The sequence below is a fragment of the Homo sapiens genome, chromosome 3 (genome assembly GCF_000001405.40).
Source record: "Homo sapiens chromosome 3, GRCh38.p14 Primary Assembly".
NCBI classification, from domain to species: Eukaryota; Metazoa; Chordata; class Mammalia; order Primates; family Hominidae; genus Homo; species Homo sapiens.
In genome coordinates this window covers 114,026,510-114,054,474 of record NC_000003.12, presented here as the reverse complement: position 1 = coordinate 114,054,474, position 27,965 = coordinate 114,026,510, and the positions used below count along the sequence as shown (strand labels likewise).

General features: G+C 37.1%; 1 protein-coding gene across 11 annotated transcripts in view; it reads left to right on the top strand.

Moving 5' to 3' along the window:
• Nucleotides 1-27,965, top strand: part of CCDC191 (coiled-coil domain containing 191) — a 92,477-nt gene that overhangs the window by 2,139 nt on the left and 62,373 nt on the right. For 2 of the 11 annotated variants that reach the window (NR_148531.3, NM_001353767.2), the window contains 4 exon segments: nt 11,629-11,772; nt 17,689-17,867; nt 19,327-19,550; nt 22,696-22,849. Coding sequence is in view for 10 of the 11 variants with exons in the window: in NM_001353767.2 (NP_001340696.2) it covers nt 11,629-11,772; nt 17,689-17,867; nt 19,327-19,550; nt 22,696-22,849 (701 nt within the window). In the remaining variant the exon portion in view is untranslated. 11 annotated transcript variants of the gene reach the window in all.

The following is a 27,965-nucleotide window of genomic DNA, read 5'->3' as shown; positions in this document are numbered from 1 at the left end:
TTTTTTAGTAGAGACGGGGTTTCACCGTATTAGCCAGGATGGTCTTGATCTCTTGACCTTGTGATCTGCCCGCCTTGGCCTCCCAAAGTGCTGGGATTACAGGCATGAGCCACTGCTCCCGGCCAAAACACACCTGCATTTTTGGCAAAGAAGATAACTCTATTTGTTAAGTGACTATTAGAGGGAATTCTCCAAGCTTCTAGGAGTTACAGAGAGTGAAGAAAGGAAATGCCCTGATGGTTTTACTTCTAATTTCAGATTAATACCTGACTGATCTGGGTGGAAATTTATATTTTCTGCTTTGTAAAACAGTAGAAGTCAGATTTTTTAACCTTCAGTTTTTATTGGGCCAAACAAGATCCCTGATCTGGGTAAGATGAGAAAGCCTCTTGCTACAGGCTACTTATGAAAGGAGTAAGGAGAGGAACACACCCTTCTTTAAGCTAAAGATTACTTGGATAATCTGGCTAATTAATCAGTGCTTTTTTTTTTTAATGAGTAGCTTTATATTTAGCATTTCTATATCTTGACTCTTAACCCTAAGGAGGTTTAAAAAAATAGCAGTGCCAGGGTCCTATCCCAGACCAATTAAATCACAATATCAAGGTGGACCTAGACAAGAAATAAAAACAATCAGTGTCCCAGGAAGGCTTCATGTTTTCTCCTCATACTGCTATTCTGTGTCTTTTATTGCTAATCATGCTGAACTTTCTAATGAAATGCTTTGGGGAAATAATAAAGGACACTGTTCCATATGCTTTAGTCAGAAGGATAGATTTAAATGGCAAAGTTGATAAAGATATTGCTGCGTATTGATATCATATATATGTTATCTACAGCCTACTTTTGGTCCTGACAGTGTGGAACACTGGATAAAGGTAAGGATATTTCAAATTTAGAATAAAAAGAGTATTAAGAGTCAAGCATAATCAGATGGAAAAGAAATATGAATAGATCTCCACTTTGCACATACTCTGCTATTTTTATTCCCGTGTGACTATGTAAGTTGCCTTAATTTTATACTTTTTAGTATTTTTTTTCATAATTCTGTTGCCTCTCATGATACCATTTAAGTAGGAATGACAAGAAAACAGGTGTGTAGACTTCGTTTCAAATGCCATGAGTATCACATGAAGAGGATTAAAGGAGTTGTGAAAAGAAGCCTTGGGAGAGGATATGGTGGCCTTCCTCAGATGTTGGAAAGACTGCACTGTAGTTACAATGACCTAGGGACTAATGGGTGAAAACTACGTGTGCATCACAAATAAGAATTTTCTAATGACTAGTCCATCCAAAAGTGGACTGGGTGTTCTTATAGAGATGTGTTTTCTACCACTGAAGCTATTTTAATGGACTCTAACTGGTCACTTAATGTTAGGCTAATGAACAATATGTTTGAGGATTCAGTGAAGGGGAGATTGTGTTAGATAACCTCTGACATCTCTTCCAGGCCTGAGATATGTATTTTTGAGTCTGAGTACCATTTAATTTGAAAGTGCCATTAAATCATTTCAGGTGTGTGCTTCTGCGTGTCAGTTTAGCAACTTGCCATATTCAATTCATCGTGTACCACATGTTTCAAAATCATGCAGCATTTTCCCGGGAAAAGACCATTCTGACAGTATTTTGAAGAGTGATTACTCATCTAAATTGACATGCATCATGAGCACCAGATCCCAGATAGATATAATAGATCCTAGGCCAGATGTAATAATTTTTAAGCATTTATTTATTCAGCTGGTATTTGAGTGCCTACTAAGTACTAGCCCACTGTGTTGGGTGTTGGAGCTAAAACAGAGCAGGTACAGTCCCTGCCCTCCCAGGGTTTACAGTCCAGTGGAGAATAAACAACTTACTAAAGCTCATGAGAGAATTAAAGATGTAATGGAAGTATGTGGTGAGAGGCACTAATTTAAATGGAGTCAGGGGAAGCTTCCTGGCTACTGCAGAAAGCCTAACTTAGATGACGACTAAAGTGGATCTACCATCATGAATGCTAGTCTCTAGGAAGGCCACTCCTCTATCTAGTAAGACTAGCTTGCATGTGAGTGTTGAGAGTCCCAGTGCCAAGTCCCTGCAGGGCTTAGTCACACAGTTAGTTACCATCTCTTCAGAGGCAAAGATTTAACTAAAACAGGAAGATAAAATTTTGCTCTGATTTGTCTGTGACATTGTCCGTTTTCATATAGTTTTCAGCCAGCTTGACTCAATTTTTATCATCTTTTATCATTCCTCTAACATTTCTGCATTGGCTCTGTCTCCATTATGTCATCAAATCTGTCTTGAAAAAAACCAATAAGTCTTTATTTGATCCTGTAATCTATTCTGATTCCTGAACGATTTCTTTTTCATATCTAATGTTTTGGATACATAACCTGGACTCCTTGCCTTTGTATTTTTCTTGTCCTCTTGTGTCCACAGTTATTCTCCTGCGTCCTAATTTCTTACCATTCCACAGAAACTGTTGTCATAAATGACTTCCTGACCAAATCCAGTAGTCTTTTGATAGTCCTCAAACTTTTTCAGGTTACATTGACATAGTTACCATTGCTTTATTCTAGAAATCCTCTCCTCCATGGTCTTTTTGTAACTGTTTTTTTCCTGCTGCTTCTAATACTTCCTTGTTCACTTCTCTGTCTTCTTTTCTTATTTCATTGCTAACTCTGGGTGTACCCTAAACAGTTATAACCTCTGGACCGAAGACTTCAAAGTCCACTTGAGTGGACCACCCTTTCAAAATCAGCTGAGACCTCTTTATGTGAAAGAAGGGGAGAATATATGGAAAGGGTATGGAGTATAGTAAAAATTGAGAAAGGCCTCTCTTCAGAACAGAAAAGGAAGATTTCTCAGTGGCACTGGGGACATGGCTGAAGCAGTTAACCATAATTAATTTTTAAATATATATTTTAAATAGAGATGGGGTTTCACTATGTTGCCCAGGCTAGTCTCAAACTCCTGGGCTCAAGCAATCCACTGGGCTCAGCCTCCCAAAGTGCTGGGATTACAGGCGTGAGCCACCATGCCTGGCCCATAATATTTTATGGTACTAAAAATAGGTAGATCAGATTGATCCAGACTTGGAGGTTTTCTCTGGAACAGCCAAGGAACAAGGGGTTCGAGGATGCAGTAAGATAGTAGCTGCATATCCACACTGAGTAGGAAAGGAAGGAACCCTTTCAAGGACTCAAGTTAGAAGAGGGAGGTGTACAGTGACTAGAAGACTTGGTTAGGTCCAACTTCAGTGTCATAGGAGTAGGGAGAATGAAACAGGGAGATGGATCAGAGGTTGATGTTGGAGAAGGGGTTATCAGTTTGGTTTGAGCAATGGAAAATGTTGTGAACCATGCTTTGTGACATGGTTCGGGGTCACGATGTCAATAGGTTGCTGAAGTGGAATTGAGGGGAAAGCTGTTGGAATACAGATGAACAACCAAACCTCAAGGCTGAGATGTTGGTGATTCATCTTCAGGGACATTGAAATCACCTAGAATCAGGTAGATGGTTGGGTAAAACTGTGAGTCCTGCAGCAACTCACCCAAAATGCAACAGTCCACCATGATTTACAATTTATCCTCATCTTGATGAGATGGACTGACTCATCTTACTCCAGGGCATTCTGTAACTTGATTGAGCTTTCTAAACATTTTAATCAAATCATTTCCCTACTCTCCAATCATCAGTTATTCTATGTGCCATCAGACGAAACTCTATAAATTCCAGATGAGTATTGACAACCCTCTAGCAGTCAACCTATAATATCAATTTATCTGTAGCAGTCCCTATACTGATCCTCCATGACTCCCGTCAAGCCAGTCTCCTTCCCCTCCATCAGACAGGTGTTCCTTTTGCTTTGACTCACGTTGATCCCTCAGCCTGGAATACTCCTCCTCTCTGAGAGGCCAATCCAGATCCTTCCCTTGTAGCTCAACTTGAGATGCCTCTCTAAGTGGACAAATCCCCCTTACCTACCTCCACCTCCTAATCCCATCTTGTACTACTCTTTCACCTAGAATTATTTTGGCATTTATATACACAGATACAGCCTCAAGCATTTGCTTTTGTACAAAGTGATTAAAAAAGAATGGGTAGCTTCAAAAATTTATTACTCACAGAACTATTTATTATATATGAGCATGCAGTATGTCAAGAAGCTCATGTTTGTATCCACTGGTTTTGAGGAAATGAAGGATGACATTGTAACTGCTGTCTCTGCCATCCATGTTGCTAGGCTACAAAGGATCTGTAGTGGACCATGGGATTGATGTCTGCTGTGGGACACAAGGAACACATATTGAGCATTTATAAGATCGTGGGAATAACTGAGATAGTTCCTTTACAAGTAATATGTTTATATATAACATAGTTACTATGATACGCTTTTGAAGGTGTTCAGTTTTTCTTAAATCACCCTGCATTGCTTCAGAACTGTCCTTGAGTTGTTTATTGCACACATGATATAGGAAACCAAAAACAAACAAAAAAAGTAAGCTATTTAAGAACAGAAACTTTTACTTTTGTTTCCACTTAATGCCCACTCCAGTGCTGGGAACAGAGCTAGCCTTCAATCAGGACTTGCTGAAAGAATAAGTTGTTAAATTGCCAAAATGTTTTACTTAAATATAGGGTAGCTCTCTCCTATGTCTTACATATTTATTTTGAAAAAAAATATTAAGGATGTAATGTTTTAACACAAACAAATATAGAGATTATGTATAGTCCTTAGTATCATCCAGTAGTTCTTTCTCCTCAAATCTTCATTTTAAGTGATATCCCAAACACTTGCCTTGTTAAAGCCAAGCAAACATTTGTCTTTATTTCCTTGTCAGTACCAGCCTCTATCCTTCTTTATCCTTCAGTCTTTCTCCTCTTCTCTCCCAACCTCTCTACCCTCCTCTGTTAAGAACCTGTACAAATTCCAACTCAGGTAGGATGACACATAACACATAATTATTTCTTTCACTCAAGGCCTGAGGAACTAAGTCAAGTCTACGAATCTGTTTTTGTTGCTAATTTTTTGTTTGTGGATTTTTAAAACACTAAAGTTGATCAATTTATTTGTACGTTATTTACATATGTGCATATACGAACACATACAGTATATGCAAAATTCATCTTTCTGTCTCAGAATTTAGGAGCCTAAAGGAAAGACCATGTGCCAACCATGAATCTAATACATGACGTATGCTACCAACATAAACTTGCATGCATCAGAGGCTATCAGAAATAATATGGGAAAATAGGTCTCTACCAAGTGACTTCATAAGGAGTGAATGATATTTTCTTGACTCTAACTCTAATGAGATCATGTTTTCTTCTGGCTCATGTCTTTGCCTGTATGTTCTGTTTTCTACATCTTTTTCAAATTACCCTTCACTTTTCAGCTTTATTCCTCTGCTTCTGTCTGACTTAAAGCTAATGTATGAAACGCACAAGAATTTGGATGGAAAAGCCCATGGCAAGTTTTGGCAGAGGTTCCACCAGTCTTTCCATAAAGGGCAGGAGGAAAAGTCATTTTCAGAATAGGTCAGGTGACAATATAAATATCGGAAAGTACAGCTTTTCTGAATAAAGTTTTCATGTATTCATTCCTTTAACAAATATTTATTGGACACCTGTTGAGTGCCAAGCACTGTTCTTGGTGCCAGGTTCTCCTTGAGAAGAAGATAAGAATTCCTGCCAACATTCTACCTGAGGGAGACAATAAGTGATTAAATATACGATAAGATGGTAAGTACTATAGAGACAATCAGAGCAGAGGACGGGGAGAAGGAGAGCTGGAGGAGAGTGTTTACAGTTTCATATAGGGTAGTCAAAGAAGGCCTTACTGGGAAGGTGACATTTGAGCAAAGGCTTCAGGAGGTGAGGGAAGGATGCCTATGCGTATCTGTAGGAGAGCAGTTCAGGCAGAGGATAAGCAAGTACAAAGGCCCTAAGCTGGGAACACACTGAGCATATTTGAGGAGGAACAAGCAAGGAGGTCCGTGAGGCTGAAGTAGAACGAGCAAAGGGAAGATTAGCGAGAGTCTTGGAAAGCTCACAAAGGGCTGCGTGGCAGGACCTGGAAGCGCATTATAAGGACTTTGACATTAATTCTGATTGAGATCAGGAGCCACTGAAGGCTTTTGAGTGGAGTTGTGACACACATTATGTGGCTTTCATTTTAAAGGAGTCATTCACTGCTGTGGTGAGAGGCTATTCCAGAAAACCTGTCAGGAAATTGTTGTGCTTTGGACCAACATGGTAGCAATGGAGGTGATGGAAAGGGGTCAGATTCTGTATATATTTTAAAAATAGAGTCAACAGATGTCCTGATCAATTATATGTGGGGTGAGAAAGAGAGAGATAGATTGGATTAAGGACGCCAAAGTTTTCATCCTGAGGAATGTAGTTGTCACTATCTGAGTTGGAAGAAACACAGCAATCATGGGAGAAAGCAGGTTTCTGGGAGGGGGAAGTTAGGGGTTAAGTTATAAAATAAGTTTTAACATTTTTTTTCTTTTGAGACAGAGTCTCGCTCTGTCACTCGAGCTGGAGTACAGTGGCACAATCTCAGCTCACTGCAACCTCTGCCTCCCGGGTTCAAGTGATTCTCATGCCTCAGCTGCCCAAGTAGCTGAGATTACAGGCTCATGCCACCACACCCGGCTAATTTTTGTATTTTTAGTAGATACAGGGTTTCACCGTGTTGGCCAGGCTGGTCTTGAACTCCCGACCTCAAGTGATCCACCCGCCTCGGCCTCCCAAAGTGCTGGGATTACAGCATGAGCCACCGTGCCCAGCTTTAAAATTTATTTAATTAAATTTATTTATTTTGAGACAGTCTCACTTTGTCACCCAGGCAGGAGTGCAGTGGCATGAACACAGCTCACTGTGGTCCCAACCCTCTGGGCTCAAGCGATTCCTCCTGCCTCAGCCTCTGAAGTAGCTAGGATTATAGGTGTGCACAACCACACCCGGCTAATTTTTTATTTTTTAACTAGAGTTGGAGTCTCACTAAGTGCCCCAGGCTGGTCTCAAACTCCTGAGCTTAGGCAGTCCTCCCATTTTGGCCTTCCAAAGTGCTATGATTACAGGCATGAGCCACTGCACCCAGCCTAATATAAGCGTTTTTATTCTGTGCAGGTAAATAAAAACACTAAGGCAGTTTGTCCACTTCTGCTGTTTCTTCCCCCAATCCTGCAAATTTGGTCATGTTTTTACTAGACTCTTGCTGTTGAGTTAAAACATTCTAGATGGCTACAGTTCAGTGATTCTGTTTATTCCAATTTTATTGAACCTAATATATGATTGCCTAATATGAGATGGGAGATTTCCTTCAGGAGTACTAATTTGCTGAAGTGTGGTTACTCTACCTCTGGTTCATATTCATATGCAAGTCCTAAGGGCATGAAAACTAATAAAATATAATATTTTTTATTTAAAGTAAAATATCCATGTCTCAGGATCCTATCACTAATGCCCTAAACAAAAGTTATCTAAATCTTAATAACTTTTATTCAAATATCAAAATTGTGAACATCTGTTAGAACTTGGTAAAATACTGCAATTAATTTAATATTATATATGAAACCTCCCAGAATATTTGGGGGTAGATGTTTAAACCTCAAGAGTTTCTCCAAAAATGGAAAAATGAACGAATCTTAGTAGGTGGTAGAAAATCAGTTTCTTGAGTAGGAGAGAAATTCTCTAACTGAACAAATTTGTTGTCATCTTTATGGATTTTTTTTTCTGTTATATTGAAGAGAGTGGAGAAAGCCTCAGAGTTTGCAGTGTCAAATGCATTTTTTACTAGAAATTCAGATTTACCTAGAAGTCCCTGGGGCCAAATCACAGATTTGAAAACATCTGAGCAAATAGAGGATCATGATGAAATCTATGCAGAAGGTAAGAGAATGCATTTTCTGCTGCGATGTTAACAATTCTTAAAGCATAACCCATGATGCATTTCAAAGTAGAGAATGGAAGTTTTCTTACTCTTGTTCTTAATTTCCCTTTCTTTCTACTCCCCTGAAACTATTTTACTCTGGAATTAACTCCAATATTACAAGTAAGGATATACTTAAGCCTCATTTTGTTTCCCAAATTAGAACCACATCCAGAGGTAGTTTGATACAACAGCTAATTGGTGAATGCTGTAAGATATTAGTCCTGTGACAAAGATGGTAGCATGTTAATTTGATCAGATATTATACAGATAATTTGACTATAGTCTATAAATCAGTTTTATTCCTGATAAAGAGACCCTAAAAACAGTTTAACCTTCCTATGTCCCAGAAGCATTTACTCTTCTGGAATTTGGTATTTTCGTTACTGATGCCCTGGGGAACTCTACCATTTAGGTATAGAAGGAATCAGGAAGGACCAACAAAGGAGACTGAGAAAGGGAGGCCACTGTGGTAGATGGAAAGTCAAGAGTGTGATGTCCTACAAGCCAACTTCCATTTGGATGACTCATGTCTCCAGTTATTCCATTTATTTCTTCATTTATTCAACACACATATACTCTGTGCTAGGTACAGTTGTAGGCACTGGAAGTACTGGTTATGAACAAGAGAGACAAAGCCCTTGCTTTCATGAAATATACATTTCTTGTGGGAATAAAGAAAATTTTACAGTGATCCAGTAGTAATAAGTCCTTCAAGTTCAGACCTGAGTCAGCAAGGAGCAAGGAGTCAGTTGAACAATGTGATGGGGGAAGCATCCAGGCAGATGGAAAGGGAGCATGAAGTACAGACAGGCATGGTGTGCTGCAGGAAGACCCATGTGGCTGGAGCTTCCCCACAGAGAGAAGCTGGCGGGAGTGAGGAGAAGGTATGTCACATAGGGCTTTCCAAGCCTGGGGAAAGAATTTAGATTTTACTCTGAGTATGACAGGATAGAATTGAAGGGTTTTAAGCAGAGGAGTAATATGACAGTTTATAAAATATATGAAGGATTTAGCAGGGCATGGTGGTGGGTGCCTGTAATCCCAGCTACTTGGGAGGCTGAAGCAGGAGAATCACTTGAATTCGGAAGGCAGAGGTTGCAGTGAGCCAAGATCTTGCCACTGCACTCCAGCCTGGGTGACAGAGCGAGACTCCATCTCAATAAATAAACAAATAATAAATTAAATATAGGAAGAATGGATTATAGGGGAGAAAAAGAGAGAAAAGGGCAACCAGTGGGAGGCTGTTGGTGGTGGTCTGGGTGAGCAGTAATGGTGAGTGGTTTAGAGTGGTTGATAGTACTGGAGCTAGAGAAAGGAGATTGATTCTGAAATTGGCTTGGCTGATCTTGCCCACCCCACCTCCCACCCTGCCAGTAGAGATACCCAATATACTTTAGCCTGTTAAGGGTTTTGAGAAGTCCTGCAGTTGAAAAGAAATGTTTACTTGCCTCATTTCCCATGCTGCCTAGACCATGAACCTCTTTTTATCCTGAAATCTGTATATTATCCTGAGAAACTAGTGATTCACATTAGGAACATGGTTTGGTATATGGATAGAACACCAATGGATAGAACATGGTTTTCAAAGGTTTATATCATTTTTTTTCTCCTATCATAAACTATACTAATATTCTACAAAAGTAGTGTTCTGAGGAACATACTTTGAAAATCTGTGCTTTAAGGTAGTTTGTATACTTCTCATGTGGTCTAACACAAGGTATTTCTACAGTTTAACCCCTCCAAGGGAAGTTTTATTTGTTTTTGGGGGGCACTTCACAGTAAATCCCCATTTACCAATGAATGTTATTTAGTAGGTGTGAATTATTTTGCATATAAATTACTATACACATAAATGTTTGAATTATTATATGCAAGGGCTACTCAGTAAATATCTTCTCCCTTTCTCTACCTTCCCCTGAAAGCCAATGGCATTTGTTGCTAGTATGCTTTTAACACTTCGTTTATATTACTCTGATTTATTTTTTCCTATTTTATCTGTATTAAATGCCTCTTGGCATCATTTAATGTAAACACCCCATTCCCTAAGAACTAACTATGCAATAATGATCATCATAATGATGAAGGTAATGAGAAAATAGACAAAAGAGCTGTTTGATAGTAATAACAATGATGAAAGCTATGCTAAAGCAGGCATTTTCCCCATACCTAAATAATTTCAGGAAATTTTCTTAATAGCATTAAGAAAGAAATCCAAATGGAGGTTAGCTTTCAGGATATCACACTCTTTGATTTTCCTCCTACCTCAATGGCCTAGTCAGCTTTCCTAGTTCCACCTTCTCTCTTCAACCGCTAAATCCTGGAGTTCCTCAGCACTCAGTCCTTGAACCTCCTCTGTGTCTACCTTCCTCCTTTGGTAATTTCATCCACTTCTATGATTTTAAATACAGTCTGCGTGCTGAAAACTTCCACATTTATTTCTTCAGCTTGGACCTCTCCCCTGAAATCCAGAGTATTGTAGCCAATACCATATTTGACATCCCTATTTGGATGTCTCCTAAACATCTCAAACCTAACATGTCTGGGACCGAACTCCTAATCTTCCTCCTCAAGCCTGCTGCTATCCTTGGCCTTCCCCGTCTCAGTAAATGGCATCATCATCCTTGCAGTTGCTTAAGCCAAAAAACTCATAGATTTCTTTCTCTCATGTCCTATATCCAGTCCATTAGCAAGTCATGTCAACTCCACCTCAAAACATTCTTTTCTGTAATCTGACCATTGTTAATACCTCCACTCCCAGATCCAGGCCACCATCACCTCTCTTTTGGATTATTATACTTGTTTCCCAATTGGTGTTCCCTACCTCCGTGCTTATCCCCTATAGTTTATTTTAACTTAATGGTCAAAGTGATTCTCTTAAAATATATCACCTCTGTGCTCACATCTCTCCTGTGGCTTCCCATTGTACTCAGAGTAAAAGCCAAAGTAGCTAGAATTGTGTCAAGAGTGTAAGCAAGGGAATTTCAGCCTCAGGACTATTGACATTTTGGGCTAGAGAATTTTTGTGGGGGCTGTCCTGTGAATTGCAAATGTTTAGCAGCATCCCTGGCCTCTACCTACTAGACAGTAGTATTGCTTCCCCAGTTATGACAACACAAAATGGCTCTAGACATTGGCATAAGTCCACTGGGGGGCAAGATTGCACCTGGTTGATAATCATTGCCCTAAACATTCCCCTAAACCTGATCTGCACATTACCCCTCCAACCTCATCTCCTGCTGTCTCCTCCTCACTTCTCTCTGACCACACTGGCCTCCTTGCTGTTTTTCCAACACTGTAGATACTCCTGCACAGGACCTCTGCATTTGCTTTCCCTCTGCAGAGAATAATATTACCTTATAGATCCTCACTTCTCTATCTTTCTTCCCTTCTTTGCTCAAATATCTTTTTCTCAGTGAAGCTTTCTTTTACCTCCCAATTTAAAGCTACAACACCCATCTTCCATGTCTTCCTGTCCCTGCCTTTTCTCTTATTTACTTATTGTCTCTCTTCCCCAATTGGAATGTAAGTTTCATGATGCTAGGGCTTATTTTTTCAGTTTTGTTCACTGTTGTATTCCAGTATCTAGAACAGTACTTGACACGATAGGTACTCAATTAATATTTATTGAATAAATGAAAACAGTGAATAAAGAAAATCTCTGAAGTAACTGAAATACTTAACATGTTTTTGTTTTATTGTAGCTCAGGAGCTGGTCAATGACTGGTTAGACACCAAACTTAAGCAAGAATTAGCAAGTGAGGAAGAAGGTGATGCTAAAAACACTGTGTCAAGTGTCACTATTATGCCGGAAGCCAATGGCCATTTGAAATATGACAAGTTTGATGGTAAGAACTTACCTGATTGTTCTAAGTTTTAACATCTAATGAATGTGTCTAAGAAGTCTTTTAATTGTTTTGAATAACAAATGATACATATTTAAGTTTTCTGTGTTTTTTTTAGTTTTTATTATTGGTTTTAATTTATCATGGTTAAATGTAAATTTCTTATGCTATATCTTCAGTAAATTCATGGTGTTTTAAAAATTAAAATATTCTATTACAGTTATCCCTAACTAACTGTGAGGAATTAGTTCCAGGACCCCCTGGCCCCCACAGATACCAAACTCCTCAGATGTTCTAGTCTTGTGCGTATCCTCTCGCATACTTTAAATCATCTCTAGACAACTTACAATACCTAATACAGTATAAATTCTATGTAAATAGTTGTTATACTGTATTTTAAAATGTTTATTATTTTTTATTGTTGTATTGTTATTTTTAATTTTTTTCAAATATTTTTGAACTGCAGTTGGTTGAATCCAAGAATGTGGCATCTGCAGATAGGGAGGGCCAACTGTATTTATAATTCTGCTTATGATTAGAATAGCAATTAATGCTGTTTCAGAGTGCCTCTTCCTCATATATCATTGGACTGTTTGATGCAGACTACATTTAAGTACTCATATGTCATTTTTATATTTATAAAATGCTTCTTATTTATCTGTTAGTTATTACTTATAAGGGAGGTTATTACTTTTCTAGTTTTTTTTTCCAGAGGAGAGAAAAACCACTACTGTGCACAGAGCCAGTGTCAGACAATTTATTACTTATAAGGGAGGTTATTACTTTTCTAGTTTTTTTTTCCAGAGGAGAGAAAAACCACTACTGTGCACAGAGCCAGCGTCAGACAAGTTAGATGGCTGACGTGTAAGGATTTATCTAATACACTCAAGGGTCTGAGTATTTTTTCCCTGAGCATAGGGATAGTCATGGTAACAGTGGGGCAGCTCCCCATACATGACTCAGATACCCTTGGTGAATTCACCTGACATCATTCTCCTTGTTTAGGACTCTGCAAAATCCCCAGCTTGAGGATCACAAAACTATCAGCTTGTAAAATTAGAAGAATCCTTCAAGACTAGGTAGTCTGATCTACCCTCCTCGCCAACCCAGATAGAGATCTTCTACAGTGTCCCTAACTTGTAGTGATGTATCCTCTGCCTGAACACCTTCCGGGATTGGGAGCCTACACTTTGGGTAGAGCCCATTCAACTGCTGTGAGGCTCTAATTCTCATAGAAGTTTCCGTTAGTTAGGAGAATTAAGATTTTGTCTTCAGTAACGTTTTACCCTATGGTACAACTAAAATAACATGTTCTCTCTCAAGAACGTTTTATTTTTTGTAGGAGTTGTTACCATATTTGACCACTCATATAGTTCTATGTTTCCAGATTAAATAGCACCAGTACTCTCAACAATTTTTTTATACCACATGGTTTCTAGGTCTTATCATCCTCGTTGCTGCCTTCTGGACATTTTCTAGTTTATTAATGTCATTATTAAAGTGTGGTACTTCAGTACTTCATATTTGTTCTGAAGCAAATATATGGAATCTAATGAAACTATTACTTCTTTTGATATAGTACTAATAGATCTAATTATATCCCTTTACTTAGATTGGTTGATATCATCTAGTGCCATGCCAGGCCTCAATCATCGTATGCTGGTAGAGTTTTTTTTTTTTAATTGAAATATTGAACAAATATTTATGTAACCATTAAAAAGGATATTTACCAAAAATGTTAATTAACATATTATCTCAATAGACACAGAAAAGGCACTTAACAAAATCTAACATACATTCCTGAAAAATGCTTCTCAGCAAACTAGTAATGCAAGAGAAATTCTTCAACTTGATAAAGGCCATTTACATAAGACATGTAGAAAACAAATACCAAAATGATAAGTGTAAGCTTTATCAGGAATTACATTAAATATAAATGCATTTAATTAAACACTCCAGTCCAAATGCAGAGATTGGCAGAATGGATTAAAAATACATATGCTATCTACAAGAGACATATGTTCAATTTAAAGTACAAATAGGTTGAAAGGAAAAGGATGGAAAAAGATATACCATGCAAATAGTAAGCAAAAGAGAGCTACAGTTACTATGTTAATATAAAAATAAGACTTTTTATTTTTATTTTTTTCTTTGATTTTTAATTTTCCCAAAAATAGACTTTTAAAGAAAAAATTGTTACTAGAAACAAAAAGTGCATTTTCTAACGATAAAAGAGTCAATCCATCAGAAAAACATAACAACTATAAATATATATACACCTGACAAAAGACTCCCAAGGTAGATGAAGCAAAAATTGACAAAATTGAAGACAGAAATGGAATTCAACAATAATACAATCATGTGTTGCTTAATGAAGAGGATAAGTCCTGCAAAATGCATCATTAGGTGATTTTGTCATTGTGTGAACATTATAGAGTGTACTTACACAAACCTGGATGATAGAGCCTACTACACACCTAAGCTATGTGAGATAGGCTATTGCTCCTAGGCCACAAACCTGTACTGCATGCTACTTAATACTACAGGCAATGGAACACAATGGTAAGTATTTGGGTGTCTAAACATATCCAATCAAAAAAAGGTACAGTACATATGCAGTATATAAAGGGTAAAAAATGGGACACCTGTACAGGGTATACCATAAATGGAGTTTGCAGGGCAGGAAGCTGCTCTGGGTTAGTCAGTGAGTGAGTTGTGAGTAAATGTGAAGCCCTAGGATATTAAAATACGCTACTGTAGACTTAAAACACTGTATACTTAGGGTACACTGAATTTATAAAAACATATTTTTCTTTCTTCAATAATAAATTGACTTTAACTTACTCCAACTTTTTTACTTTGTAAATTTTGAATTTTTTCTAACATTTTGACTCTTTTGTAACACTTAGGTCAAAACAAACCCTCAAAATTTTTTTATATTCTATATACTTTTTTCTATTTCTGAAATTTTAATTTTTTTTTCTTGTTAAAAAACTAAGACACAAACACACACATTAGCCTAGGCCTATACAGAACCAGGATCATCAATATCACTATCTTCTCCACATCTTGTCTCACTAGAAGGTCTTCAGGGGCAATAACAAGCATTTAGCTGTCATCTCCTGTGATAATATTACCCTCATCTGGATACGCCCAAAAGACCTGCCTGGGGCTATTTTACAGTTAACCTTTTTTGTTTTGTTTTGTTTTAAGACAGGATCTCCCTCTGTTGTGCAGTGGTGATCATAGCTCACTGCAGCCTTGAACTCCTGGGTTCAAGAAATCCTCCAGCCTCAGCCTCCCTAGTAGCTGAAACTACAGGTGTGTGCCACCACACCCAGCTAATTTTTTTTTCCTCTTTTAAAAGAAACAGGGTCTTGCTTTGCTTCTCAGGCTGGTCTCGAACTCCCGGGCTCAAGCAATCCTCCCATTTCGGCCTCTCAGAGTGGTGGGATTACAGGTGTGAGCCACTGTGCCCAGCCCAATTTTTTTTTCTAATAAGTAGGAATAGACTCTAAGATAATGATAAAAGTGTAGTATATACATAAACCAGTAACATAGTTGTTATTATCATTATCAAGTATTATGTATTGTATATAATTGTATGTGCTACACTTTTTTTTGCATAGTATTCTTAAGATTTTTTGAGGGTGCTTTATTTTATTTTAACTTTTATTTTAAGTCCAGGGTACATGTGCAGGATGTACCGGTTTGTTACATAGGTAGACATGTGCCATGGTGGTTTGCTACACAGATCAACCCATCACCTAGGTATTAAGCCCAGCATCCTATTCTCCTGATGCTCTTCCTCCCCCTGCCACCCATGACAGGCCTCAGTGTGTGTTGTTCTTCCCAACGTGTCCATGTGTTCTCATCATTCAGCTCCCACTTTTAAGTGAGAACATGCAGTGTTTGGTTTTCTGTTCCTGCGTTAGTTTGCTGAGGATGATGGCTTCCAGCTCCATCCATGTCTCTGCAAAGGACATGATCTCATTCCTTTTTATGGCTGCATAGTATTCCTCAACGATCTAGAAGCAGAAATACCATTTGGCCCAGCTATACCATTACTGGGTATATACCCAAAGGAATAGAAATCATTCTATTATAAAGATACATGCAGGTGTATGTTCATTGCAGCACACACTCTTCACAATAGCAAAGACATGGAATCAACCCAAGTGCCTATCAGTGATAAACTGGATAAAGAAAATGTGGTACACGTGCTATACTTTTATACGACTGTTAGTGTAGTTGTTTTGTTTATACCAGCATCACCACAAACACATGAGTAATGCATTGTGCTCTGACATTATGATGACTACAACATCACTAGGCAATAGTTTTTCAGCTCCGTTATAATCTTATGGGGCCACCTTCATATACGCAGTCCATTGTTGATGGAAATGTTGTTATTTGACACATGACTGTAGTTAGAGACTTCATTACCCCACTATCTTTGGAACAACTACAAAACATAATCAAGGAAGATGTTCAGTAACATTAGTCATTAGAAAACTGAAAATTAAAACTACAATGAGTTACCTCTACATATCTTAAAATGGCTTAAATTTGAAAGACTGACCATACTGAGTATTAGTAAGGATGTGGAGAAATTGGAATACTTCTACACTGCTGGTGGGAATGTAAAGTTGTGTAACCACTTTGGACAACAGTTTGATAGTTTCTTGAAAAGGTAAGCATTTAGCTATAATATGATCCAATCGTTCCACTCCTACACATTTTCCCAACAGAAAAGAAAGCCTATGTTTTGTGGGTTCTGCATTTCTGGACTCAACCAACCATGGATGAAAAATATTTGGGAAAAAATAATTCCATCTGTACTTACATGTACAGCTTTTTTCTTGTCATTATTCCCCAAACAATACATATAACAAGTATTAACATAGCATTTACATTGTATTGGGTATCATAAGTAATCTAGAGATGATCTAGAGTATAAGGATGGATATAGTTTATAGGCAAATGCAACACCATTTGATATCATGGATTTTTGAACATCTTTGGATTTTGATATTCTCGGGAGGTCCTGGAACCAATCCCCCAGAGATATGGAGGGATGACTGTACACAGATGTTCATAACACCTTTATTTGCAATAGCCAAAACCTGGAAACAATTCAAATGTCTATCAACAAATGAATGAATAAACAATTTGTGGTGTATTCATATGGTGGAATACTGCTCAGCAACAGAAAGTGATAAACTATTGATACACACAACATGAATGAATCTCAAAATAATTGTGCTGAGTGAAAGAAGCTAGGTCAGAAAAAATACAGTGTATATAAGTGTATGATCTAATTTACATAAAATTCTGGAAAATGAAAACTAATATATAGTGGCAGCAGGTCTGTGCTTACTTGGAGCACAGTGGAGGGCAAGGGGAGGAGTGAAAGGAAGAGTTTACAAATCAGCATGAGGACCCTTTTGGGGCTGATGGATATGTTCATTATCTTGACTGTGGTGATGGTTTTACTAGCATATGCATATGTCGAAATTTATCGTAAACTTTAAATATTTGCAGTTTATTATATGTCAATTATACCACAATAAAGCTTTTTTCTTTCTTTCTTTCTTTTTTTTGAAAGCAGTAGAGCTCTCAAGATTGTTTAGATTGAAGTTCTCAAGGTTGTTTAGATTGAAATCTTTTAGATTTGGCAGTGAAGGACTCTTTAGTGACTTGGGTGAGGGCAATTCTTGGTAAGTGGAGCTTTTTTATTCTTAGTTGAAGGTAACTGCTGAGGGCTATACTCAATCAGTTGCCATTATCAGTTACTATTTATTGAACACTCGCAGCTTTGTATTTTTATTGTACTAGGATTCTTTATGTAAATATGAATATAATACTAAAATTAATTTTTTAAAAAAATTCCCTTTTTTGTTGTTCTGTTTCCCCCAGATTTATGTGGCTATTTGGAGGAAGAAGAGGAAAGTACCACCGTTCAAAAATTTATAGACCATCTGCTCCATAAAAATGTGGTAGATTCTGCAATGATGGAAGATCTTGGAAGGAAGGAAAACCAAGACAAGAAGCAGCAGAAGGATCCTCGTCTTACCATGGAGATGAGACATAAGCAGGTGGGAGGGAAAAACAAAATTAAAATGGATAACAGGAAGCAGTCTTTGTGTAACACATTTAATAAGCTTAAATAAAGACATAGGCTTTATTATGAAAAAGGGTGCCATCTGTGGTTTGGTTAGGGAGAATAAAAATAAAATATAAGAACTTCAGAAGAAAAATAATTCTCATAAACTGAGGGTAGGAAACAATTTATTTAAGAAATAGCCAAAAAGAAAAAAAAGAATAATTGATTTTGACCAAGAGTATTGACATAAACCTTATTAGTTTGAATGTGGTACTTCCTATTATAAACACGTAGATTGTGTGTGCTTGAGTTTGGTTTTCAAATTGTAACGTTAATATTATTAATATTCTTGAGAATGTTACAGGATAATTCTTTTCCAGACAACTGAAATTCACTCATTTTTTTATTATAATTTAAAATGGAAGACAGATCTGAATTGAATCAAGTTCAGCTGTTTTGAATTAGAAAAGCATGTGAGAACTTTCTTTTCTCCAAAGGGAATAGTAGGTTCTTGCAAAAAAGACTGGTGTCTCAACACTTTGTAAAGGAGTGCCAGAGAATCCAGAACTAAGACTGATCCGGAATTAATATCTGTACATGTGTGTGCCATCTTTGTATAACACTAAATTTCTGATTGCCGAATTTGAAAATAACTGCTTTAAATTATTCAATGAAGGTATATGTAATCAGCACTGGGGATGTTAGAGAAATGAGTAGAAGTATGATTCTAGTTTGGATTTATGACAAAAGAGAGGAGAGAACGTTCAATAAGCTATATAGTCATTGTCTTATCAGAAGACTTATCACAACTAGTGAGTAAGATAAGGGTAAAGTTAGGTGAAGCAGGAAGGAAAGGACCTTTCCTTTCTCATAGCTACTCAAGCCCTCTAAAGGATTAATAGGTTTGAAAAAAATGAATGTGCTTTTTCATGTTTTTGATTTCCAAATATGATCCAGAATCACTGCTATATTTACATAATAATAATAGAAATGAATAAAGGGTTGTGGTGTTCCTAAAGGCAATAAATCACTGTTCTATCATTCACAGTGTGGCTTCCAAAAAAGTTCTGTTCTTTCTTAAATTAGAATGCAGACATGACCTAAGTATAATAAAAGCAGTAATGTACACCTTGGACAATCTTACAAGTGAGAAATCATTCCTAAATGAGAATCCAGAACTTGGGGTCTGACTCATTAGATTCTCAACTTTTCTGTGATGTGGATCATTCCCAGATTATTTGAGTCATCTTCATCTGACTTCATCTAAAATGTTATATTCATCTTTACCCAGTAAACAGATGAATTCCTCCTTTCCTACCAATAAACAGTGGAGTTCTGGGCCAGCATATTTCAAACTGGTTGTATTCTGAACTTCAAAATGTATTGTAAGGCTTTTCATATCCCTTTCTACTTGAAAGGCCACACTTCATCTTTATTATATTTGCTTTAAGGTAAAAGAAAATCGCTTAAGACGTGAGAAAGAACTGGAGTACCAGAGAATAGAAAAGACCCTGAAAAAATCGGCCTTCTTGGAGGCTCAGTGTCTGGTGCAAGAAGAGAAGAAAAGGAAGGCTCTGGAGGCCAAGAAAGAGGAAGAGGAGATTCAAAGGGAGATGGTGAAGCTGCGGAGGGAGATAATTGAGAGGAGACGCACTGTGAAAGCAGCATGGAAAATGTAAGCCAGTGTGATAAGCACTGTGGGGTTTCTCTGTTTAAGCAGTCATTTTAGAAATGCTCTGAAGTTTTTGAAGTGCACAAACATTCAATAACAAAACATAGAAGAGAAATCACTCACTATTCCACCATCTTAACAAATTAACTAATTTCATATTTCCATGTTCCTCCTGACGTGGTCCCTTTCCATACTTAATTATACAACCATAAAGTACATTTAATTTGTAATTCTGCTTGTTGTAATTAACACATTGCCTGGAGTCCTGGGATGTGTATAATACTCCATTGAGTTCCTATACCATAATTTATGTAATGACCACCTCCCCATACTGGTAAATGTTTCAGCTATTTTGGATTTTTCACCATTATAAGATTGCAATGAGCATCTTTAAGCATAGAGTTTTTTCACTCTTTTGTATTATATTCTTAGAATAAATTCTTAGCATAATTTCTGAGTTAAATGACACAGGTCTTTTTCTGACTCTTGAAACATTGCCAAATTGCTTTCAAAATGGGTTGTTTTGCTGATGATACTTGTTTACTGTATCATCAGCAGCAGGCCAGTTTATCATACTCTTCTCAGCCTTAGGGAGTATCATCATTTTCAATATTTTTACACTTTTAATAGGTATTACATTGATTAGTTTGCATTTCTTTGGTTAGATAATATTTTTAAGGTTGAACATGTTCAGTAATTGTGTCTTATCCTGTTGTGAATTGTGTGTCTTATTTTCTGATAAACATATGGAAAGTCACCACTGCCTTACTACCACTGATAAAGAAAAAGAATATCTGACATAAGAGGAAGATGAAAATAGTCCTCACAGGATGTAGTACTATTATCCATCCTCATGCAGAAAATGAGCTTCATAAGTGAAATAACTAATGTATTTATTCTGAGAAACAGCACTGATGCAGGAACTGCAAAAGCCTTGGAACAGCATGACTGAAGTGTCTGACTACTCGAACTGAGAGGCCACAAAGACCTATTAGATAATCCCTTCCACCCCCATCAGCCTACACAGCTTTCCCCCCTGTGCTCTTGATTGCTCTTATTCTACCCAGTTTAAAACAGCTCAGCAGTGGACATGTGCTTTACTTCTTCAAGTGCCAGGCTGAGGCTTCCTCCAGATGCCATTCCTTTCAGAAAGCAATCACTGGTGTTTTAGTGAGTTCTTTCTAAGGTCAGCCTTGCTTTTCATATTGCTCCCAAGCCCTGGAAAAACTAGGTTGACCTAAAATAAATTGTGAAAACAAGTAACGTTTAATGGTAGTAGGATGCTCTGCTCACAGTGGGCACTCAACAAATGTTCACTGACCAGTCATTTATTTTAAAAGTTAAGATCTTATCCATGGTTACAGTGAGATAGGTAATATGTTCTACTTCTGGGTGGATGAACTGATTTAAACTTTCCAGAAAGCAATTTGGCAGTAAACAACAAGAGCCGTAAAATAGTATTATCCCTTGACCTAGGAATTACAGCCTTAGGAAAACTGCCCTAAGAAAATTATCAGAAATCCAGACAAAGATTTGTGCAGAAAGATAATTTAAACAACATTATTTATAATAACAGACTTTCGTAAATATTGGAGAAATTGCTAAGTCATGGCTGTACAATGAAACAGGACTGACTTTTTTTCTGGGTAGAAATATGGATGGCTTTTATGGGCGTGGTGGCACACACCTGTAACCCCAGCTACTCGGGAGGCTGAGGCAGGAGAATCGCCTGAACCCAGGAGGCAGAGGTTGCAGTGAGCCGAGATCATGCCACTGCACTCCAGCCTGAGTGACAGAGTGAGTGAGACTCCATCGCAAACAGAAAATAAAAAAAAAAAAAAGAAATATGGATGACTTTTATACTTCTCCAGTTTTTCACAATGAGCATATATTTCTTTTAAAATAGATATATATTCTAATGTTATTTTAAAAAATCAGTTTCATGGTATTAGAACTGTATTTCTTTGACAATCACTATCACCTGTCTATAACCATGTAATATAACATTGTTATGGCATTCATAGTTTGGAAAAAGTCAATAACATTTTTATTGTTGATAGGCCTTTTGAACCTATTTGTAAGCTATCTTAAATCTGCCTCATTGCCTAGTTTTAAAGTTATCTCTTTCAAGATGCTTATTAATTTCAAAGGGAAAAATAATAACTCTATACTGGAGAAGCCACCTTAAGCAAGTGATGAAGGTTAACATTACCAATAATACAACATAACACTGTGTACCCTCTGTAACATATATGAGAATGAGTGAGAGAAGGGGTAGGGTACTCTGGCATCTTTCTCCATTTTAGTTTCCACAACTGTGAACTAAAAGTTCAAGAAAGATCAGGTGACTAGCTGGTTTGTGGCCAGAGCTCATGAGTTCTGATTCCTGACTAGGTGCTATGTTTACCACATCATTAATAATATATACTTTATACACATACATATACCTGTGCAGTTAAATGCACTACAGTAGGAAGGCCATAGCTATGAGCTTGTTTGAATTGGTGAGCAAAAGAGGGATGGCCTGGATGAGGAAGAATAGATAGGTGGGCAAAAAAGAGGATGCTCAGAAAGATGAGCAACAAAGTTACTAAAATAATTCTGGTTACTTGCCTAAAGTCCTTTTCCTTTTTAAGTTCTATTTTTTTCTCTTTTCAGCTATTTTAAAATTATTCTAGATTCCATTCCCTCCTTATTCAATAACACCTGATTCTTTTGTTATTCCTCTTTCTAGTAACCTTATAAGAGGCCTTTTAGTAAGAATCTCATTCCTTTCTTGAGAATCCTTTTTTTCTCGTTCTATGGGAGATAATTTATGTCTATATTAGAGACTATCTTGTAGTTGTTAACTCTCAAATTTTGATCAAAGTATGGCTCAGTGTGCAACTCAATAAAAATACTAAAGTATCTATAAGACTTTCTACTTTTCAAAGTACTTTATAACAATTTTATTTCATTTAATCTGTATTTTATAAAGGAATAAAATAAGTCTCCAAAAAAATTACCCTACTATGTAGTTTTAGAGCCAGATCTAAAAATATGTGTATTCCGAAGGAGAATTCAGTGATTATTCTGCTACAGTAGGTTGTAATTGCTCATTTTTAAATCTATTGTAAATATACATGTATTTTTAAATTGTTATTAATAGAGAGAAGAAAAGGCAAGAAGAGAATTCTCAAAATAGTTCAGAAAAAGTCATGTTTCAAAGTACTCACATTCTTCCAGATGAGGAAAAAATGGTGAAGGAAAGAAAAAGGAAATTGAAAGAAGTATTAATCCAAACTTTCAAAGAAAATCAACAGGTGGGAATTGCAATGTCTCTTTACTCAGCATTCTGTAGTATAAATGACAAAGAGCTCCATCAGAGATGGGATAAAATAAAAACTAAGTCCAGTTGAACCTCATCACAAATACCAAAACTGCCCACGCCATTTGTTCTTTGTGCCCAGCTGACCTGGTATGCAGGGCAGTACACAAATCCCCTGTTCTGAGGCTATTCTTTGTATACTCTGGTGGGATCCTGGGAAATTACTGGGGTGAGGGGGGTAAATTGTGGACTTCTTCCTAAATTACCTCTTCAGAATAGCATTTAACTATTATTAACCTTAAACTAAGGTAGCTCTCTGGCAGTTTTTGAAATCTTGGCTTCCACTTTGACAGTTGTAAGGACCATTGTGTTCTGGATTATTCAGAAGATACAAGAACTGGTTACTTGCCTTTTAGTAGCTCTGATCCTAAAGCAATGATACACTTAAACCTGTGCTTTTCTTTTTAATGGTCTATATTTTATTTTACCTTTTCTTCCTTTCTTTCACTTTATCTTTTTGTAAAAATTACTTGCTGATTTTTAATATAAAAGTGAATATCCTCTTCAGGTTACTTAAGCAGTTTTCTTCAATAAAGTGGGATTGATAAAAGTATGAATTTTGGGATTATAACATTTCAGGTAAAAGGACTGACTGGGCAGATTTGTAAATGAGAGGGTTAGATGAGAAAAGATAAATATGTATATTTTACATATCCTACAACACCCACCCCAGGGCCTTAGGCATTGCTGAAATTCAGAGAAAGTTAATTGAATAAATACGTGAATGAATGGATTTAGCAAGAGAAAAGAGAATGTTAGGAAGATACTGAGGGAGCTTGGTAAATGTAGGGATAGACTTACAAAGGTCCTGGAAATCAATAACAGGAGTTTGAATATCATACGGATAACAAACATATGAAGGAAAAAGTAAAGTAGTCAAAGTGATTTTTTAAAAACGATAGACATATTTGATGGTGATATTTTGAACTGATAAGAGGTTGTAATTACTCAGTTATTAACCAACAAAAATTTGGTCAGAGTTTTGGCTTCAGGAAAACAGAAGGAAATGTAGTAGGGAGAAATGTAAGACTTGCAGTTAACATTTTGAGAAAAGTTAGCAAAGGACTTAGATTCTGCATTCTTCATGAGACAGATGGAATTAGTATTCCTCCTATATAATAACAGTTCAGATTTCAAAGAGAAAATAAGAAGAGAAACGAGTATTCAGGGAGTCATCTTGAGAAGACATAAGGAAAAAATACCATGATATATTTCCCAACAAATTAGAGACAAATAAAGTGTGTTTTCTAAAAAATGCTTAAATTGTATTGAAGTCCACTGTACAATCATATATATTTTAGATGGAACTGCCAAATATGAATGTTAGACACATATGCAGTTTTACAAAATTAGTGGCCAATCGAAAACAGATTACTTAGTTTTAAAATATTTGACATGGAAAAGCTGCAAAAATAGTGCAGAGTTTCTGAATAACCTTCACCCAACTTTTCCCAATGTTAACATTTTACATAAGCATAGTATAATTATCAAAACTAGGAAATTAGCATTGGTACACTGCCATTAAATACCATTAACTAAACCATAGACCCTATGAGAATATCACCAGTTTTTCCACTAGTGTTCTTTCTCTGTTCCAGGACTCAATCCATAATTTCACACTGCATTTATTTATTACATCTCCTTAGTCTCCTCCAGTGTGTGACATTTCTTTAGTCTTTCCGTGTCTTTTATGACCTTGCCATTTCTGAAGAGAACTGGTCAGGTATTTTGTAGAATTGTCTCTCGTTTTGGTTTTTTTTATGTTTTCTCCCCCTTGCTTAAGGTTATGCATTTTTGGTAAGAATGCTATAAGATGTGATACTGTGCCCTTCTCTGTATATCCTAACAAGGAGGACGTAATTACTGATGTTAACTTTGATCACTTGGTTAAGGGTGTGTGCTGAGTTTCTCCATTGTAGAGTTGCTGTTTTTCCTTCTCCTTGTCTTTCAGGAGATACTGTGAAGCTATGAAAATATTTTGTTTCTCTGTAAACTGTCACCCATTAAGGTTAACATCCATTGGTGGCTCTTGCCTGCAACAATTGTTAATGTATTTGCCTAATGGTGATTTTGCGTTTCCCTCATTTCTTCTATACTTAATTGAAATTCTTCTAGAAGGAAAACAGTCCCTTCTCCTTCATCTATGTGTATATGTATGTATATGTGTATTTATGTATTCATTCATTTATGCAATTGTTTATTTTATTCAGTATGAGCTCATTGATATTTATTTTATTCTATGGGTCATAATCTAATATTGTTGTTGTTTACTTGCTTATTCAGATTGTTTCAACGTGTCTATTGGGAAACCTATCAAGTTGGCTCCTTTGTTCTTTCAACATGCTTCCATCCTATTTTGGACACTTTCTTTTTTGTTGGCACCACAAGATACTTTATGCTTATCTTGTGTTTTACCTGTCCTCACCCTAGAATCAACCACTTCTACATGGAACTTTGATTCCTTTTGTTGGAAAAACGGTCTTTGGAAACTAAGATCTAGGCACTAAGTGTGTTCACTGCTACTGGAGTGTCATTTTTTTCTAGGCCGCCTCAGCAGACAGAGCTAAAATATATATAAAATATATATAGATATATACATAGATATATGTGTGTATGTATGTATGTATACTAACATACATATACACACACATTATATTTATTTCTGTGTCTATCTGTATACATATTAAAATCCATGAGTTCAGCAACACAAGGGTCATGTTATTCTCCTTTTCCTTATTTGTAACTGACTTCTGTATCTATGAATCTACATATATATGTATATATAAATATATATAAAATAACTGTGAATTTATAATAATATTGTCAAGGATAATCCAGCACCACAGGTTTCAGTGTAGTCTTTCCATCTCGCTCACTTGTAATTTCTTTCTCTGACACTGAGAAACCTGGCTCTCATTATCTCTATTATATTTACTTATTAGGGTAATCCTAGTACACTATAAAAATAGTTTTAGAGGCCGGGCACGGTGGCTCAAGCCTGTAATTCCAGCACTTTGGGAGGCCAAAGCGGGCGGATCACGAGGTCAGGAGATCGAGACCATCCTGGCTAACACGGTGAAACCCCATCTCTACTAAATATACAAAAAATTAGCCAGGCATGGTGGCGGGCGCCTGTAGTCCCAGCTACTCGGGAGGCTGAGGCAGGAGAATGGCGTGAACCCAGGAGGCAGAGCTTGCAGTGAGCCGAGATCATGCCGCTGCACTCCAGCCTGGGCGACAGAGCGAGACTCCGTCTCGATAAAAAAAAAAAAAAAAAAAAAAAAATTTTTAGAATTGCTAACCCATACCACAGTGGGAATAAATTCACTAAAGCAAAATATTGTACGGTTATTTTTGGTTTTAGCTTTGGAGGAATAGTATTCAGTCAAAATATTGTTTTCCAGAGTTACTTAGGTGAGTTCTTTTCTTCCCCTCCCTTTTCAGTGTAATTATGTTATTCATTTGTAATATGGTTAGTAGATCTCTAGATTTTCCCCAGCGTATATGGGGTAACATGGTAAAAATACATCTACCAGCCTCCTCGGGCTCTTACATAGACTTGGTTATAGATAGGACAGTCCTCCAGTAAAGGCCACAGGCATAGGCAAGCCTTCTGGGCTCATTATCTTGGTCCCAGTTAACGTTCAGCTCTAAAGGAGCCTAAAGCTGCCTTGAGTAATGAAACTTGGATACTCAGCAGCCTAGGTATGACCACAGGATGAAAACAGGAAAATGCCTAGCTGCCTTGCAGGGAGTGACTAGATAACTGGAAGCTCTTGTCAGCACCCTCAGAATGTTTCACTGGTACAAACCCTGTAGAAACAGCTGTGTAGAGTATTTGCAGGAAGACTTTAAAGAATCTGTTTTTAGGAGTTGCTATAGTTTAGGTTCCTTTAATTCCTGTAATTGTTTGTGCTTTAATTCTGGATTTTTTTTTCTTTTTTTTTTTTTTTTTTTTTGAGACAGAGTCTTGCCCTGTCACCCAGGCTGGAGTGCAATGGCACAATCTTGGCACACTGCAACCTCCACCTCCTAGGTTCAAGCAATTTTCCTGCCTCAGCTGGGATTACAGGCACACGCCACCACACCCAGCTAATTTTTGTATCTTTAGTAGAGACGGAGTTTCACCATGTTGGCCAGGCTGTTCTCAATCTCCTGACCTCGTGATCCGCCCACCTTGGCCTCCCAAAGCATCGGGATTACAGGCATGAGCCACCACGCCCGGCCTAATTCTGGATTTTATTTGTTCCTCCCAGAGTATCTCTTAACATCTTATTTGGGCCACATTATTTAATAGGAGACTGAGAGAAACAGTGCAGGCTCTCTTATCAAAACTCAAGTTCAGATGCAGCACTATTGATGCATCTTTTCTACACATTTCATGTCTTGTCAAAAACATTTGTTTTTTGTGTAGAAGCTTTCTACTTCCAGCCTATCCCATTTTCTCTTTGATCTTACAGTGAAATCTCTTGGGGGAGATTCAGCAATTCATGTGTCACTGCTAATTAGCAGAAACAACAAAGGATTAACTATAAAACTCTTATACTATTTGGAAAATGGCCTTCTTCATTCTCATCCAGTTCTGAAATATATTTTGGTTTTCTTAATAAGATTAGAAACTCTATGATCTTTGCTGCCTGTGAAAACTGAAGAGAAAGATAAAATATGGGTGACACTAACCTACATCTTAATTATTTGGGGGAAGGTTTTAGTTTGCTTATTTGGTTGGATTTTTCTGTTAAAGAATAAAATAATAATGATCCAAAGAAATCATCATTAAAGTTATGCTTGTGGCACAGCACCTTCCAAAAGTCCACCTCAAACTAAACCAAGGAAATGTAGGGATACTATATATGGAAAAGAAGCCTGGAGTTTTTCTCTGACAGAATGACGAAAACTGTAGTTAAATATCTCATTTATATACCATGATTCCTTTCCAAAGATCTTAGTTTTATCAAGACTGCCTACACACCACTGAGGCAAAACCATTTCTGAGCTGACACATAGCAACCATCCTCTCAGCAATGTTTTCTTATGTTAGGGGAGGGAAA